The sequence below is a fragment of the Homo sapiens genome, chromosome 14 (genome assembly GCF_000001405.40).
Source record: "Homo sapiens chromosome 14, GRCh38.p14 Primary Assembly".
Classification (NCBI taxonomy): Eukaryota; Metazoa; Chordata; class Mammalia; order Primates; family Hominidae; genus Homo; species Homo sapiens.
Window position 1 is genome coordinate 88533688 of NC_000014.9, and position 19459 is coordinate 88553146.

The 19459-nt window shown below is 42.4% G+C and overlaps 1 protein-coding gene across 3 annotated transcripts in view, besides 1 other annotated feature; it reads right to left on the reverse strand.

Moving 5' to 3' along the window:
- The window catches only part of PTPN21 (protein tyrosine phosphatase non-receptor type 21), an 89230-nt gene that overhangs the window by 67910 nt on the left and 1861 nt on the right, over positions 1-19459 (reverse strand). Inside the window, exons 1-2 of one of the 3 annotated variants that reach the window (XM_005267287.4) lie at positions 17625-17865; positions 16551-16932 (exon numbers count right to left, since the gene is read on the reverse strand). In XM_005267287.4, the coding sequence (XP_005267344.1) occupies positions 16551-16730 (180 nt within the window). In that variant the 5' untranslated portion in view covers positions 16731-16932; positions 17625-17865. Of the gene's footprint in view, positions 1-16550; positions 16933-17548; positions 17866-19459 lie in introns of those variants that run through there. The other 2 variants (XM_011536367.4, NM_007039.4) reach the window with 2 other exon arrangements.
- Positions 15624-16441: an enhancer, noted in NCBI's record as "H3K4me1 hESC enhancer chr14:89015655-89016472 (GRCh37/hg19 assembly coordinates)". NCBI's record gives its function as "activates a minimal SCP1, AML or CMV promoter by ChIP-STARR-seq in primed H9 embryonic stem cells {active_cell/tissue: H9 hESC(primed)}" and the evidence as "EXISTENCE:reporter gene assay evidence [ECO:0000049][PMID:30033119]".

The window sequence follows — 19459 nt, forward strand, 5'->3', positions numbered from 1 at the left end:
GCCTGGGCAACATAGTGAGACCCCATCACAACAAAAAATACAAAAATCAGCCAGGTGTGGTGGTGTAGACCCAACTAGGAGGCTGAGGCAGGAGGATTGCTTGAGCCCAGAAGTTCGAGGCTGCAGTGAGCTGTGATTGAGCCACTGCACTACAGCCTGGGTGACAGAATGAGACCCTCTTTCAAATAAAAAAAACAGTGAACTGGAAATCAGCCTCAGGAGGTTTCCAGAAGAAGGCATTGTTATCATAGGGGATGACAGAGCCATGCATGTTACCGCCCCTGAAAACTGTCCAGGAGGACAAGATGTGGAGGTGAAAGAAAGTGTTATTGATGATCCTGACCCTGTTTAAGGCTAGGCTAATATGTGTGTCTTAGTTTTCAACACAGAAGTTTAAAAAGTGGCCGGGCACGGTGGCTCACACGTGTAATCTCAGCATTTTGGGAGGCCAAGGTGAGTGGATCACTTGTGGCGAGGAGAGTTCAAGATCAGCCTGGCCAACGCGGCAAAAACCCACCTCTGCTAAAAATTAAAAAAAAGGGGGGGCGGGGGGCGCTTGGTGGTGCACACCTGTAATCCCAGCTACTTGGGAGGCTGAAGCACAAAAATGGCTTGAACCCAGGACGCAGAGGTTGCAGTAAGCCAAGATCACGCAACTGTACCCCAGCCTGGGCAACAAAGTAAGACTGTCTCAAAAGAAAAAAAAAAAAGTTTAAAAAGTAAAAAACAAAAAAATACTTTAAAATAGAAAAAAGCTTATAGGGTAAGGATATAGATATTTTTGTATAGCTGTACAATGTGTCTGTGTTTTAACCTATGTTATTACAAGAGTCAAAAGTTTTAAAAATTTAAAAGTTTGTAAAGCAAAAACGTTATAGTAAGCTGAGGTTAATTTATTATCGAAGGCCAGGTGTGGTGGCTCATGCCTGTAATCCCAGCACTTTAGGAGGCCGAGGTGGGAGGATCACCTGAGGTCAGGAGTTCAAGACAAGCCTGGCCAACATGTTGAAACCCCATTTCTACTAAAACTACAAAAATTAGCCAGGTGTGGTGGTGCACGCCTATAATTCCAGCTACTTGGGAGGCTGAGGCTACTTGGGAGAATGCTTGAGCCTGGAAGTCGAGGCTGCAGTGAGCCATGATTGCGTCACTGCACTCCAACCTGGGCAACAGAGTGAGACTCTGTCTTAAAAAATTAAAAAATTGTGATATATTTAATGTAGCCTAGCTGTACAGTGTTTCTAGAGGCTACAATAGTGTCCTACTACTATAGTGCAACTTCCTAGGCCTTCGTATTCACTGACTCACCCACAGCAACTTTTAGTTCTGCAAGCGCCATTCACGGTAAGTACCCTATACAGGTGTACCTTTTTAATCTTTTACCTCACATTTTTACTGCACCTTTTCTATGCTTAGATATGTTTAAGTACACAAATACTCACCATTGTTATATATATATAATTACCTACAGTATTCAGTATAGTAACATGTTGGACAGGTTTATTATAGCCTACCAGGACTAGGCCACAGCACATAGCAGGTGTGCAGTAGGCTATACCACGTAGGTTTAAGTACTCCCTGTGATGTTCACACAACAATGAAATTGCCTAACGAATTTCTTAGAACATTTCCCTGTCCTTAAGTGACACATGGCTGTATTTCCCCCGGGTGACAATGCCTGAGATTCCAATAGCTGCCACTAGCATGGTGTGGTACAAAGAGCACTAGATTTGCAGGCAAAAGGCTCGGCCTTTGAGTCCTGACTTTACCACTTGCCAGCTCTGGAATGTCTCACTTCCTCACTGAGTCTGTTTCTTAATAGGGAATTTAACATGTACTCTTCCTTCCTCAAAATTGTGGTGAAGAACTTTGTAAGTTCTAATCGTACTGATAATACTGAAAAGCACTCTTACCTTTGTCATGGTACCTATATTTAGCAGATAGGATCTCTTCAGGTATGACAGAAAATAGAATAAAACTTGAATCAAGCATGCTTCTTCCTTGAAAATATCACTATTCAAATAACAGTCAAACTAATTTCTTCCTTTAAAGTCTGAACATACCAGGACTTTTACTAAAAGAAAGGCAAAAACTTTGCTACAGACAGGCCCATGTGCCTGAAATTTTAACTACTGCCTTGGTCTAGGATATCTTCCCAGAAGCACACATCCTCTCTTCCTTGAGTCCAAATCTTCTGGACTATGCACGTCCTGTTAATGGAGTTCGTTTAATTGTAACAGAAGTTTTCCAGCAGACAGCCTTTAGTTATTGGCGTTCAGTTCATGTCTCCTGCCACACTTTGTTATATAACTTTCCAGTGCTTTTCCTGATAAGAAACTTTACCTCCACGTGGCTTCTCTTTCTCCACAGCTGCATCCACTCTCACTGGTGATCAAAGCAAATTGACTTGACCTGTGGGAAACTCATTCCAGCAGAAGTTGTTAAATCACTGAATCTTCTAGCATCCCCTAGATCAATTCTCAATAGTCACTGTAGAGAATTTTGTGAAACTTTCATTGTCAGGTGTGTTTACATTCTCCCTTCCTTTCCTATTTTGTTATGAACAAACATATCAGGATAGTTTTCAAAAAGTTATTCAATGATTTCTTCATAGTTGTTTAAAATTTTTTCATAGCTACTCTTCTAAAATTGTACAGATAACTGTGCCTGCTTTGTAAACTACAGTAAAAATAAAAGTTAAAACAAACTTGGCTTCTTTTCAGCACAATATGGTTGACTTACTTTACATGAACTGATGTTGACTGAGAACAAAGTGATTTGATAACCAAGTTTTTTGTTCAAAGCAAAAGAGAGTTTACAAATTTGAGATGGGGAAAAAATGTGCAGCACCCAAATCATAGTCCCCTAAGGAGACGTCAGCTATTAAAAGCAGGTCCAAATCCTGTCAGAATGTAAACCCTTTCCTAATCCCTAAGTCATTTCTCGTCTAATTATTTTAAGAGTCTTTTTGGTTGTACTATTTTTAAAGTAGAGCAGAGGGACACAGAAATTAGCTGAAGGGTTTTTAAAGCCACTGATGCATTGGGTTGATAAAAGTTAATCCCATCTAAAATTGCAAATATAATTTCATCCTGATGCCTTTCTTAGACTAGGCAGAAGTCAGAAGACTTTTCATCAGGAAAGAGATGACAGAAGATAGCACTAGATAAAGTCTATCCCGGGAAGAGATCATCTAACAAGGGTAGTTAACAAGTATTAACCTAATTCAAGCCTGGAGCTTACCTTTACAGAGTCTGCCATAAATAATGAAGTATCGTACTTCTTCCTTGTGACAGATAGTGGCGGTCACATTGCCTCAAAGCAGGCAGCATTTTTTCCTTTTCTGTTTAATTTTAATCAGTTTTCTTCTATACTTGATCAAATAATATATATTTTACAGCCAAAGTGGTAATATGCAATATCATTATACTCTATTACAACTAAATGAAGACTCAAGAAAATAATCAAGAGTACATCTTGACCTTCTAAATTATTCTGAAATTATACTGAAGTCCAAGTAACTGAACTTCTCGTGTGGCTAGATTTTTGTTGTTGCTGTAGCATTTATCTTTAAGGAAGAGTCAAATGATAAGACAATTTCAGGGACTGAAAGACAGTAGGAGGCACAAACTGAGATTACTGTCCACATGGATGAACTGCTTATCTCTTTTCTATTTACTATCCTGGACAATGAGATGCTATGAATATGATGCCTCTGAAACACAAATAAATATACTCTATTTTTAACTGGACTAATGTTTAGAAAGATTCATCTATTCATTCAATGAATATTGATTGAATACCTACTACATGTCAATCACTGTTCTGGGAACTAGGAATACAGCATTGAACATGAGAACAAAATTCCTGCCCTCACGTAACTTAATTCCAATAGGGAAAAATAGACAAGCAAAATATATATTATGCCAGATACTGATAAGTGCTATGGAGAAAGATCTTGAATTATAAGATTAAGACAATATCAACATGTTTTTAAAGAGTAAACTAGGATTAAAGGGGAAATTTTAGTAGTCACGTGTCCCTTAACGATGTGGGAATGCATCATTAGGCTATTTCATTGTGTGAACATTATGGAGTGTACTTACACAAACCTAAATGGTATAGCCTCCTACACATTTAGGGCATGTGATATAGCCTACTGCTGCTAGGCTACAAACCTGTACAGCACATTACTGTAGTGAATATTGTAGGCAACTGAAACACAATGGTATTTGTGTATCTACACTTATGTAAACATAGGAAAGGTACAGTAAAAATACAGTATTATAATTTTATGGGACCACCATCTTATAAGCAGTCTGTCATTGACCAAAAATGTGATATGCAGCACATGACTGTATATATATAACCAACAAGAATGACAGGGATAATTGAGATGTTACTGCACAAAGTTTCAATACAGTCAAAAGCTAATATGCTCTATGTGCTACCATATAAAGGTTGTTTAGTTTACGACCCACATAACCAAAGATAAACTAGAACTTCTTATTCTTCAGTCACAGCCTGGGCTCATCACGAAAGGCAGCCAGCACTTCAACGGACTCACTGCCTCTACCTTTCTCCTTGCTTGGATGAAGAATCTGAATCTAGAAGCCCACCAAATTCATCTAACAGTAGTGCAAGCAGATATTGCTTTGGAAAATATCTCAGCAGAGAACACTCCTGGGATGTATTTCATCAGTCTGATACTTCCAACTCTGCCAGGGAACAAGCTCACCAAAGGCTTCTCATCAAACAGCTCTGCCCTAAACACCCTGGGGATTCCCCAACAGTGTCTTGCGGGCCTAATGACACTCATGTTCCTTCTCATGCTTACCTTTCTTTGCCTGACGTGAGTGCAAAAACCTATCTTAAGCAAGATAATTGTAAAAATACAAAAATTAAATGATAACAAATATCTCCAGAGTACTTACAAAAACTACTGTCACATTTAGGAGGCCACTCTGAGCCAGGCTGTCATCAAGGGCATGAGCTCCAGAGCAGGCCACCTGTCATTTGTCAAAGGTTATAAACCAGGAAGAAAGATGCTGTTCAAGGAGTCAGAACTACTCTAGCTGTGGTTTCCGCCATGTAACCATGAGCAAGTCACTTAATACCTTTGTGTCTCAGTTTTCCCATCAGTAAAATGGAGATGAGCATAACAGTGCCTCATATACAGGATTTTTGTGAAGATCAAAATAAGCAAAAACATTTAAAGCACTTACAAAAGTGTCTCATGCAAACAAGTGCTCAAGTAATACGAGATCTTCTTATCATGGTTTTCTAGTCCCTTTAAACAGTATAAAATTTCGTATTACATTTATTTAGTAGAGGAGATCCTACACTTAAATACTTCCTTCACTAATAGGATTCTATCTTTGGGAACTTTTCCTTTTCTTTCCTTTTTTTTTTTTGAGATGGAGTCTCACTCTGTTGCCCAGGCTGGAGTGCAATGGCACAATCTCAGCTCACTGCAACCTCCACCTCCTGGGTTCAAGCAATTCTCCTGCCTCAGCTTCCCGAGTAGCTGAGATTACAGGCGACTGCCACCACGCCCGGTTAATTTTTTTTTTTTTTTTGAGACATAGTTTTGCTCTTGTTGCCCAGGCTGGAGTGCAATGGCATGATCTTGACTCAATGTAACCTCCACCTCTCAGGTTCAAGCGATTCTCCTGCCTCAGCCTCCTGACTAGCTGGGATTACAGGCATGCACCACCATGGCCAGCAATATTGTATTTTTAGTAGAGATGGGGTTTCTCCATGTTGGTCAGGCTGGTCTCCAATTCCCGACCTCAGGTGATCCGCCCACCTTGGCCTCCCGAACTGCCGGGATTACAGACATGAGCCACCACGCCTGGCCTTCTTTCCCTTTATTTCCTTTTAAAGTAAATAGACAATATCAACACTTGGATTGCTTTTCTTTTAGGAAAATGGCAATGGCTCCATGGAAAAGCAGTATATTGAGAGAAAAGTGCTAAAACAAGAGCTGGAAGACCTGAATTCTAGCAGGGGGCTGTCACCAACTAGCTGCCCTAGCCAGGCATTAGTTGTATAGCATCATACAGAGAAATCTGCATTCTATTGAAGGGTAGCATACATTATACAAATAATAATAATACAATTTTAGACATATTCACTATTAAACATGCTTCATTTTTCTGTTATCATACTGTATGGTTTAAGTGTTATTTCCTTAAGTCACTAAGCATAAATTTGACTTCAAAATAGGTGTCAATCATAAAAACACAGGCGAATCAAGTATGCAAGTGTCTACATATTATTTCTAAGTGCAAAATACAAGGGACTGAGAAGGTTATTTTCTAGATATTTCATACCAAACTTGCAGGAAGAGAAAGGATGTTATGGTGAATATCTTAATTCTCAGCAGTGCAGCTCTGAACTCAGTTGCCTGACTTAACAATAATACCTCTCCAGTGATTTTTCTCCAATCCATTATTATCCCTCAGTGTATTATTCCAACTAACAAATTTACATGATGAAACAGAAAGTGGAAACGGCTAAAGAATACTAAAAAAGAGCTGCCAGTTAATGAGTGTCCTATGGATGCTATTGGTCTTTGGTCCACTCCATCAACGAGATGGTGGGAGGAAACAAAGTTGATTATACACAGGGTTACACATATGTAAAGCAACTAGCACAGGGCATGGAATATGGTCAGTACCCAATGCAGAGCTATCATTCTTACTATTACATGCAGCCATATCACATACAAAAGAAACAAATCCCAGGGAAGTTGGTTTCCTCAGTTCACACAGGTAGTCTGCAGGGATTTGAACCCAAGTCCATTGAGCACCAAAACTTTACCTCTTTTCTTCCAAAACCCCACTTTGCCAAATGTAGTTGAATCAAATGGTATAAAGTTCAATGTGCTGAAAATTCACTTGACATTGAGGTTCATTTGACAAGTCAACGAAGTCTGAGCCATCTAAGTAACTGTAACATAACAAGTTGTTTTTATTTTTATTTTTTCTGGAGACAGTGTCTTGCTCTGCCACCCAGGTTAGAGTGCAGTGGCATGATCATGGCTCACTGCAGCCTTGCCTTCCTGGGTTCAAGTGATCCTCCCACCTCAGCCTCTAGAGTAGCTGGAACTACAGGTATATGACACCATGCCCAGCTAATTTTTTAATTTTTTGTATAGATAGGGTCTCACTATGTTCCCCAGGCTGGTGGTGAACTCCTGGACTGAAGAAATCTTACTGCCTCGGCCTGTCAAAGTGCTATGATTACAGGCATGAGCCACCTTGCCCGGCCAATAAGTTGTTTTTAGATTCACATGAGCTTGCCACTCAGCATGAGATTACCCGTATATTTTCTTAGCCTGAGTAGGCAAAATAAGTCAAAACTTATTTAAAATAACAAAACTACTCTGCCCCATATATAAATCTCAACACTATACACCTTTTAATGATCATATTTGGGTAATCTACTATAGAAAGTGGTACAAACCCTTGATAGGAAGTTATTTCTACTACATGCTACCAATCCTCATGAAGGATTTGTGACATACACAGTTTCTTCTAGTAATGTTAGCATCTTAGGCAAAAACTTAAATTGCCTCTGTATGTTCTGTCAATTCATTAAAAGATAAAGGAAATCTAAGTGACATTTGTTTATGAACAAATTGCTCAGAGAACTGAATAGGAAAATATTCGCTAAATTGGCATACTGTTAAAAGAATGATGAATCCTTGTTAATAGAAAAGAAAATGCCATATTCACATAAAGTGTGTATCTGACAAGAAGAATGATACAGAGGGCTCAACAATTGGCCTGGGAACTTGATTAATGTATAAAGGAAGAATGAATCATCCATTCAATTCCTGAAGATGCATCACATACCTGCTGCCTAGCAGGGAAGACAGACATGGATCTACCATCAGCAGGACAGTGGGGGAATTCCCACTCATGACCTCCCCTCTGTCCCCCCTGAGAGGGGCTTTTTCCTTAATAGTAAGTTGTCCCACTGAGCAATGAATGGCCCTTCCTGAGACCTAAAGATGAAGGCCAAAGAAAAAAAGGGCATCTGTAGTAGAAGGGTCAGCGAGGGGAGGCTCTATATTCAGAGGCAAATTATTATTTTTTAATTATGAAGGTCTTGAATTGTTCACAAATATTCCATCCTTCCAGCATCTTTCACTCTGGGAAGTAGAAGACCAGGGAAGAAAGATCCTGCTCTGTGACAAGGGGAGAAAAAGGGAAAGACTGCCTTAACCAGGAAGCCTCCAGGCCCACAGCCTAGGCCCATGGATGGACTTGGGGGAGAGAGTGGCTATGAACCACCTGAAATTGTATACAAAATTCTGTGTTTGCATCAGATCTCAAAGGGGTCCATGACCGCCACAAATTTAAAGGTCAAAGTTCGAGCAGAAGTCTGATATAAAATCTCAAATCCTGGGTCTTTTGCTTATTAGCTACGTAATCACTCAAACTTTTCTTAAGTTTAGTTTCCTAATTTGAAAATGGAAAAGATAATACAACGCCTAACTCATTGTGAAGATTAAATGAGGTAAATAAAGCTTCCAGCACAATAACGCTCATTTACCCAAATGGAGACAGCAGAAAGTCAAAGCTTCTAGAGATATTAGAAGGAATGGAATCTGATTCTATACACCAAAGACAGTGACAGCACTTAGAGCCCCCAAAACACCATCAGTTCCCTCATGTCCACCATTTTGTAATTCACCTTACAAATCTCGAATGAGTAAATTCATGCTTAATTCCACATGGTCCTGAGACTACACTACTGTGACAGACTGATGGTAAGAAAATAAGGACATCTGGTATCTCAAGGGAAAAATCCAATACTGAAAGGAAAACATCTTAGGTTATTAGCCTTTAAGTTTATTAGGCACTAAGTCTAGGTTGAATAATACTCTATTCTTCAAATAAACAGGTTTCCAAATTCTGCAATAACTTGTGATTGTAGAATAGACTTTAAAATGCATATCCTCCATGTTTGTATGTGTAATTTCCATACTTATTTATATGGCTAATTCTTAATTACCTAGACCAAAGAAGAAAAGTAACAAAACCTAAACATCAAGAAAAATCCCTGATCATTTATAATTGGTGTTAGACTTGGGAAAGCTTTCTCTATCTAGGTGAGAGGCCAACCAACCTAACATTATATTTGCTTCAGACGGTCCAATAGCTCTAACTGAAAATATTCACAGATTCTTGTCTCTACCTCGGTCTTACTTGTTTTATAACGTACATACCTAAATGAATAACTACTTGGCCCAAAAGGTAAAAAAGTTTCTGGGTACTAGACTTTTACTTTACATATATATCAGCTATTTTTAGAGTCCAAATGAAAACAGCTAGTACACAAGGAAATAAGCATGAAATTCTTGATGTCTACTCAGATAACAGTCAAGATAAGGTCAGTGGATATTTGGAATACCTAAGACACTAATTTAAAATAAAACACTTTGATGGCCAAGAACACTTTCTAAAGTTGTGCTTGAGGGTTATGGTTTGCGTTATATGCTTGATTCCTCTCTATTCTAACAAATCCCCTAGCGAAAAAATATCCCCATCTGCCATAAGGTGCTATGAGAAGTATCTGTTCAAAGTCCAGTGAGGAAGCTGACACTCCCTTGACACAGCAATCTTACATCAGGGAGCCACTACAACTAGATCACTTTCTAAGTGTTTCAGAAGAAGCCCCAAAGTGAAAAAGAAGAGTCTAAAGAAAATGGTGCTTTTCTATCTGTATACAAAACTTTGGAAATGTTTACCTCTCTCCAGGAAATAAAATCAGAGCAAACAAAGGCTGACTTAATTGTACTGCTGTCCATGTTTATCAATCTAAATTCAAAACTAAACTCTTAATTTTTAAACTAAGTAAACATTTATTCAGCAACAACATAGGTGCAAGGTGCCATCCCAGACCCTGGCAATGCTCCAGTCAACAAGAGTCCTACTTTGATGGAGCTTACAGTCTATGGAACAAAAACTTGACATTGTGTGTAACGCACTAAACACACAATTTAAAAAACATTTCGTAAAGATCTATGATAAACCAAAGCCTATAATTAAGAAATGAGAGGCCACTATATATATTTTGCTAGACTTTCATCTTCAACAAAATACCCTGGAGGTAATTTTTAGCAGTGGCTCAGTATTTAACTCAACTTCAAAACAATAGTTATGTATGAAGGCCATATATGGGAACAACAATAAAGACGCCCCAGCATGCACACACCCCCCTCAGAAACAGCTGAAAGAAAACTGTCCTCTAAGTTATAAAACTAACACAATATACCACAGCAAACATGAAAAAAATAACCTTGAAGAGACTTCCATGGTTTCACAACTTCCCCATATCCTGAGGATTAAAAAACTTTTTAGGCCAGGTGCGGTGGCTCCTGCCTGCAATCCCAGCACTTTGGGAGGCCAAGGTGGGTGGATCACCTGAGGTCAGGAGTTCAAGACCAGCTTGGCCAACATAGTGAAACCCAGTCTCTACTAAAAATACAAAAATTAGCCAGGAGTGGTGGCAGGTGCCTGTAATCCCAGCTACTTGGGAGGCTGAGGTGAGAGAATCGCTTGAACCCGGGAGGCGGAAGTTGCTGTGAGCCGAGATCGCGCCATTTGCACTCCAGCCTGGGCAACAGAGCAAGACTCCATCTCACCAAAAAAAAAGAAAAGAAAAGAATTCCTATGAAGAGAATTTGGTCAGTTACTACAACAGGGGATAGGAGTCACTAATAACAATAACATAACATCAACAAAAATGGTAATAAAGAAGAACACTTATTGAGAGTTTCCCAAATACCAGGTCCTTTGCTAAATGTTTTACATTTAACACCGAATCCTCATAACCACTATCAAGTAGGTACTATTATTATCCCCAACTTACAAATGAAAAATCAATGAACTTGGGAAATTAAGTGATTTAATAATTACTTAAATGACAGCACTTGGATGCAACCTAGGTGTTTCTGAATACTGCAGACTGTCTTAACCACTTTACTAAGCAGCCATCTCAAGAGGCAGACAGGCACTGAAGCACCACTGAAGCACCGCGCAGAGGAAAAGGTGCCCTGACTCAAAGGAATTTGTCTGGTCCTGGAGGCAGCAATTCTCTGCTTATAAAAATATGTACTTTTTCTTTTCTTTTCTTTTTTTTTGAGACAGAGTCTCACTCTGTCGCCCAGGCTGGAGTACAGTGGCGCAGTCTCGGCTCATTGCAACCTCTGTCTCTCGGATTCAAGTGATTCTCCTGTCTCAGCCTCCCAAGTAGTTGGGACTACAGGCATACACCATCACGCATGGGTAATTTTTTTGTATTTTTAGTAGAGATGGGGTTTCACCATGTTGGCCAGGCCAGGCTGGTCTTGAACTCCTGACCTCAGGTGATCTGCCCACCTCGGCCTCCCAAAGTGCTGGGATTACACGCGTGAGCCACCGCGCCTGGCCGACTTATGAAAATATCTACTTTTTCAAGGTAACATTCTTCTGATTCCATGTTCACCAAGAAACTTCTGGTTTGTTCTGGTTCCCATGTGCCCTAACTATAGGAAAATCTTGGCCTAGGCAGAGGGCACACATACCTGGGACCCTTGGCAGTTCCTTACTGCTTATAAATTACTAAACTTGGGTCCTGGTTTTACACATCATTTTTAGCGAGCTAGATTAAATCAGGTCTTCCCATGACATGAGATTTTTGAGCCTGACTCTTGCACTCTGGATTGTGCTGATTCCGTCAAGGTGATGCCCCAGGCAGTGCCCATGCCCAGGTGGCCACTTGTGTCACCACCTCCTTCAAGCCTCTACAGCATATGCTTTTAAAATTGGAGAAAATTTTCTAGCTCCCCTTAAATTCCACAAGGACTCACAGCCTCTCTTGAAAAAATGTTTTGAAACTCAGAAGAATGATAGGCAGGGAATTTCAACAGCTTTGAGAAACTACTGCTATAACGAACAGCAATATTTTCCTAAGGGAATAATTCATTTTCCCATTTTTAAAAGTTACTTTGGCTCACGCCTGTAATCCCAGCACTTTGGGAGACCGAGGCAGACGGATCATGAGGTCAGGAGATCGAGACCATCCTGGCTAACACGGTGAAACCCCATCTCTACTAAAAATACAAAATTAGCCGGGCGTGGTGGCATGCGCCTATAGTCCCAGTTACTTGGGAGGCTGAGACAGAAGAATGGCATGAACCTGGGAGACTGAGACAGGAGAATGGCATGAACCTGGGAGACGGAGGTTGCAGTGAGCCGAGATCGCGCCACTGCACTCCAGCCTGGGCGATAGAGCGAGACTCTGTCTCAAATAAAAAAAAAAAAAAAAAAAAAGAAGTTACTTTCTGTAGTTCAAATATGGTGAATTTAAAAGAAAGTTAGCAACCTAAGTTAACTACATTGGATACATGTATATTAACCACGTTGCTTTTAATTTAATACAAAATATCTTAGACACTTGTAAAAATATGACAGCTAAAAATACAAACAAAAAAAATACCCATATACCCAGTGTAAGAAACACTACTGATATAGCTGAAACCCCTGGGTATAGTGTTATACTATTGTGCGGCCCTTGTAACTGTCATTATAGGCCCGGGCACGTTGGCTCACTCCTGTAATCCCAGCACTTTGGGAGGCCAAGGTGGACAGATCACCTGAGGTCAGGAGTTCAAGACCAGCCTGGCCAACATGATAAAACCCCATCTCTACTTAAAAAAAAAAAAAATACAAAAATACAAAAATTAGCCGGGCATGGTGGTAGGCACCTGTAATCCCAGCTACTGGGGAGGCTAAGGCAGGAGAATCGCTTGGACCCGGGAGGCAGAGGTTGCAGTGAACCGAGATCGCGCCATTGTACTCCAGCCTGGGCAAAAGAGTGAAACTCCATCTCAAAAAAAAAAAAAAAAAAAATTGTCATTATAGAAGTGAAATGGTATTCAATTAAGCAAGAGGGACTTTTCCCTCCATTTATATTTGGACAGTAGCAAAGTTTTCCACCCAAATCTATATGCGATAATTCCAGATTTGCTTGGTGGGAGAACAGTGCAAGAAACCAACATACTGATATTTCTTGGTATGAATCACACAGAGACTATATGTACAAACTAGAAACAGGTGTGACCCCACTCAGATTATTTCTGAACAGTCATTTGTTAAGATTAGGCCTGATGCCTGAGCCATCTGTTTATATGCTACAGAGCAGAGCTTCTGGGGCTTTCAAAGAAAAAGTTTGCTATACAAACTTTCTACCCATGACTGTTACATTTATGTTGGAAATTGTGGGACAGACTCTCCACAGGCAAAACATTTTCTAGGGACCATGCCTGTTTCCTCTTCTGTTAAAAATCAGGCTCAAAATATACCCACAGCTATATAAAGTTACTTGTTCCCTGAGACTGATAACTTCTAACAAGGGATGGCAATTTCTCTGGACTTATTAACAGAAGGAAGGCAATGCCTGTGGGTTCAGTTCTCCCTGTATTTACTGAACACATTCCACACCTGGTATAAAAATAAATAAACCACAGTTCCTCAAGAAGCTGACTCTCTAGGCGTTATAGACAGACCTGGTGCACGAGGAAGAAAATTACAGGAAGAAGAAACCATAATAGGAAAAAAAAAAAAAAAGTCGAAGCAACCAAAGTAAATAAATAAATAAATAAATAGAATATAAGCCACTAAGCCAGGCAAGGTGGCACACGCCTGTAATCCCACCTACTCACAAAGTTGAGGCAGGAAGATAACTAGAGGAAACAACTCCCAGACCAGCCTGGGCGACATAGCAAGACTCCATCTCAAAAACACAAGTTAAAAAAAAAATTAGCTGGGTGTGGTGGAGTGTACCTGTAGTCCCAGCTCTTGGCAGGCTAAGGCAAAAGGATCACTTGAGCCTAGGTGTTTGAGGATGCATTGAGCTATGACGGTGCCACTGTACTCCAGCCTGGGTGATGGAGTGAGACCTCATCCCTAAAAAAGAATAAATGCAAGTAAGCAGGGACTGGTTACTGAGGCCTGCTGTTCTGGTTTTCTTTCTTCTTCTTCGGCAGTTTCATCTCAGTTTCCTTCCAACACTTTCCCCTCCTCTAATCTACCATGAGGGGTCTGCGATGTCCTCTTTTTCTCCCCTGGAGAGCCTCATACCATCTTCTGGCTTTAATGAACTCACTTAGGCTGATACTTCCCAATATCTTCCCTCTAACCTGGATCTCATGCCTGAACTCCAGATCAGCAGATCCATCTGTCTATTCAAAACCTCCAACTGGCACCTCAAACTCAGTATTTCTAAAACTGAACTCACCACACGCTCCTCCTTGCCCCTAATAGATCTGCACTTCCTTTCACATTTCCTCTCTGTTATAGCCCCACCATCTACTGAAAACCTGAATATCAACCAGGACCCATGCTAACCCTTCTCTATTACTCGGTAGGTCCTGATCCAGATTCCAACCACCTCTCTCCAACCCTATCCAACTCCAGGTGGCTACCATCTGTACCTGAACCACTCCCCTCAAATCATTCTCCAAAGGGCTCACTCTTCACAGAAACAATCGTACCACACCTGTTTACACCCTTCATTAACTTCCCCACTACCCTCAGGATAAATCTAAATCCTTTAACAAAAAATCCTCATTGTGTGGCCCTTACAGTCGGCCTTTCCTCCACGCACTTCAGGCTTCAGGCAGACCAGCTTCCTCTGCGTCTTTGGTCCTGTGCAGTTCTCTTTGTTGGAACTCCTCCAGCCCTTGATAGGACTCCCTTGCCCCATCCTCAGGTCACAGCTCAGAATCAAATTCCCTGAGCAGCCTTCCCTTTGCTGCACCTCCCTCTGGCCTATAGCACACCCTCTACTTCCCTTATCACAGCATGCATCATGCCTGTTTTCTTACTGGCAACAACACTAGGGTGAGCTTCCAAGTATGTATGTGCTTGGCACTTACGCATCTTCAGTACTGAGTGATCATATAAGTGATTGGATGGTCACCAGGAGCAAAGTTCATCTATTCCTGACTTTTTAGGTGGAATAACCAGTTTCTCTAACTTTCCCTTACCCAAGAACCAGGTAGCCAAAGGTAGGGAGGGTCCTAGGTTTAATTAGAGACCTTTCTTCACAGGCCTTGCATAACATTTTAAATTTAAGACATTATATGGATACATGAGTACTCCATAACTTCCTACCAACTAGATTAGGGGTTTCCTGGGCAAACCTCCCAATCGGTACTCTAATAGACTAGTTAGCAGAGCTTACAACCTTATGCTACTCTGAGAATTAGGTGTCACAGTCATCCCCATGGTTCAGATGGAGAACTGGGGCTCAGAGATATCACATAACTTGCCCAAGGTAACAGAAGCAGATGGTGAGGAAACTAGAACTCAAACTGAGTTCAGGCAGTATGTTTCTAGAACCTCGATCTGGCCTGTAAGAATATAGTCAATGAATTTTACTCAATGAATGTTGAAAGAACGAAGTCAAGAGCCGGACATGGTGGCACATGCCTATCGCGGGAGGATCGCTTGAGCCTAGGAATTTGAGACCAACCTGGGCAACATAGCTAGACCTACCTTGACTCTAAAAAAATTAAAATGAACAAAAAAGAAAGAATGAAGTCAGTAAACTGTACTAGAGATCAGGATGACCTTTGGGGGTATATTAGAAAATGGAAATTTGAACAACCCAAAGTGTATTCACATTTGATTCTGGATTACCTTAGAGGGGGAATATAAACATATTCAAAATAAGAACCATTAGTTCTTATAGGGCACCCCAAGGGGAGACTTCTTAATCTAATCTATTCCTGCTTCATGAGGAGGGGACTACAGGCTCAACTCAGACATCCCAGCCAGGGACACACAGTGAGTGGCCCGTGGGCTAGAACACACAGCCAGCATGCGGGCCAGAGAAGCCTGTCGTGTTTTTTTTATTTATTTTTAATTTTTTTTGAGACAGAGTTTGTTGCCCAGGCTGGAGTGCAGTGCTGTGATCTCAGCTCACTGCAACCTCCACCTCCTGGGTACAAGTGATTCTCCTGCCTCAGCCTCCCCAGTAGCTGCGATTACAGGCACCCACCACCACGCCCAGCCAATTTTTTTTTTTTTTTGAGCAGGTGTCTCGCTCTGTAGCCCAGGCTGGAGTGCAGTGGAGCGATCTCGGCTCACTGCAGCCTCTGCCTCCCACATTCAAGCGATTCTCCTGTCTCAGCCTCCCGAGTAGGTAGGATGACAGGTGCCCGCCACCACACCCTACAGGCGCCCACCACCACGTCCGGCTAATTTTTGTATTTTTAGTAGACATGGGGTTTCACCATATTGGCCAGGCTGGTCTCGAACTCCTGACCTTGTGATTCGCCCGCCTCGGCCTCCCAAAGTGCTGGGATTACAGGTGTGAGCCACTGCGCCCGGCCTTGTATTTTTAGTAGAGACAGGGTTTCACCATGTTGGCCAGGCTAGGCTCGAACTCCTGACCTCAGGTGATCCACCAGCCTCGGCCTCTCAAAGTGCTGGGATTACAGGCTTGAGCCACCCGCGCCTGGCCTGCAGTGTCTTTAGGTGGCTTACCTCCCGCAGCTCCAGCCTCTGGGCCACGGCCTCGAGGCTTTCCTGGCCAGTGCTCTCCACGGACAGGGTGAACTCCACAAACTCGTTATTAAGCAGTTGGATCCGGGCAACCAGGCAACTCTTGCTGGACACCGTGTAGCGCCGGGTGCGTTTCAGTTTCAACCCAAATGGCAGTGGCATCTTCTTCTTTCTTCAAGAATGGAGGAGCAAAGAGGGAAAAGCTACCCCCACCAACCCAGCGCTGGTGACGCCAGGAGAAAGCGATCCTCTCCGGATGGGACGAACACTGTCCGGCCTCCAGCTGCTCACCCAGCAGCCGCTGCCGCCATTAAAAAGCAACGGAGTCTCCAATGGCCCGAGGAAGGGAGCATTGACGCCAGCGCTGGGGAAAGAGGAACGCCGTTAGTTAAGCAAACGTAACGCTGGGCTTTGCTTGTATAAAGAAAAGCCAGTCAAGCTGTGGCCAAAGAACAAGCCGTCCCTCTCCACTGGAAAAAAGGCACTAACAGGACCCGGAAGGCAGGGTGGAATTTTATCTCAGAGTTGTGCTAGGCTCAGGGTCAGACTCCACCCTTCACTGTATCCTACAAATAGGGATAGCAAACTGGGCCATCCTCAGGATTAAATGAGATAATAGCCAGCACTACTATAATCCCAAATTTTGTAGTTAGTAATTGTGATCCTCTTCCTATTTTGGATAAGGTGTTGTTTTTTCATAGGTAACTCTTTCAGGTTGTAATACTCCAAATGTCAGAGTTCTTTAGTCCTTAAGTGAGAAAAGTGCCAAATGGCCCCAAAAGAGCTAGGTTTCAGTCCCAATCCCTTTAGAAAATTAACCCTGAAGGCAAATGGGAGGAATAATCCCCACTAAGAAAGGCAGGTGTGTGATTCAAACCCGGTGAGGTGCCTAACAAGCGCTTGTGGAAGTATTTACGTCATCAAATTGATTTACTGATAAACATCATAAAAGACCCTACAAATGCTCGTTATCCATTTACCACTAGAAGAGTGGCAGTTCTGAAAATCCAGACCCCGGCCCCTCTCCAGGGTGGGGACGCCCAAACAGGCCTTCACCTAAGCGGAGCCGCGGCCCAGAAGGGGAGGCGGGCGAGGTCTTCCACGCCATCCTGAGTTAATGAGCGGCCGGAGGCAACAAACCCAAGAAGCCCACGGGGCCTTGGAGCACTCAGGCCCCGGCTTCTCCCGCGTCCTCCCCTTGGGAAGAGCACGCGGCGTTGCCAGGCCAACCAGTAGACTCGGAGGCCCCGGAACCCTCTTTCTGCAGCCGCGTTTCTGGACGGACGCGCTCTAAAAGGACCGGTCCCTCGGCTCCCGAAGGGAACATTTAAAGGGACCAGCGCGTGCCCTACTGGCGGTGGAGAGGTTGGGCGGGCCCCATAGGATGCCCGCTTTGGAGCCACAGGACCTCAAAATACGCTCCTTACAACGTGTTTTATAGAGCGAAGTCTCGCTATGCCACCCAGGCTGGAGTGCAGTGGCGCCATCGTAGCTCACCGCAGCCTCGAACACCTGGGCTCAAGCGATCCTCCCGCCTCAACCTCCCGAGTAGCTGGGACCACAGGTGCGCGCCACCAAGCCGGGCTCTAACAGTTTTTAACCAGACCTGTTGATGGTTTCTGGGGCGAGCACTAGCTGGGGATTTTTATATCAGCTGGATTAGTTTTTTCCCCCTAAACGAGTCTACAAAATCCCGGACATTTCCAGGGTCCTGAGACGGTTCCCTACCTTCCTTCTGCGCAGAGATTGCCTGTTGGGGATGAATCGCTTAGCGAGACCCAGCCATAGCTGGCTACGCTGAGTTCCGGCCCGGGACCGCGCGGAGAGGCAAGATCTATTCCCGACCCTCTCATCTGGCAGACAGAACCCAGGCTTCAGGAAGAGAAGCGGCTTTCGCAGTTTCACGCTAGGACGGGCTGAGCTGGGAATCGATCCCAAATTCCACAGTCCCAGTCCTCTCCTGGGTCCTGCTCTCCTGACTGCGTCTCAGGCCCAGAGGTGATGGGGCACTTAGGGTTAGGGAATGGCAGACCTGGAGAAAAGGGTTCCGCTACTACCCTCGGCTTTGCCAAACTTAACATTTTGAAATTCCATTCCACAAATGTGTATTGCGTCTCTGGGAACAAGACAGCGTAATGAGCATCGTGAGAAATCTAAGACGAATCCCTAAACCGTCGCTGTCTTTAAAGAGATTACAACCATGCTATAATTACATACAGAGCTGTATCTCTAATAAGGACCCAACCACGGTTTTATCTGGCTAGTTTTTTTGTTTGTTTTGAGCTCTGGTTATTTCCCATAGCCAGGAAAATCAAAATATTAAAAACAAGGGATAGGGGAAGGCCAGAAGAAAAAAACAACGCTGCAACTACCTAAAGCACTGTGTTAATTAACCGCATTTGCTGAGTGCCTTCTGTAGGTAAAAGCACCATACTATGGAGGGAAACAGAAAATAAGTATTAAAAGATATGGTTTCCACTTCCAGTAGTTTTCAATGCTCTTTGCTGTTTCAGGGGTATAAACTAAATAAGTAAAGCAAGATGGAAAAAAATTAGCAAATGACAACTTTAAATAATAAGCTTTTAACTAGAAAATTGATAAACCAAGAGTAAATATTTAAGGATTATAAATATGCATACTAAACACCCTTTCATGAGATCAGATGGTGGGTTTCAATTTTACATAAAAATTATGGTAACTGGAAACCGGGCGGATTAAGTAGTGTAGATGAACAGACAAGATATTGCATATGTGTAGAGGAAAGATAAATATTTGTATTAGGTGCCATTCAAATATGGTAGTCTTTTCACTACATAGAACTATGCCTTGAAAGCAATAGATACTACACTGTATAACTTAATTATTAACTTAAGCTCTGATTAAGCAAACTC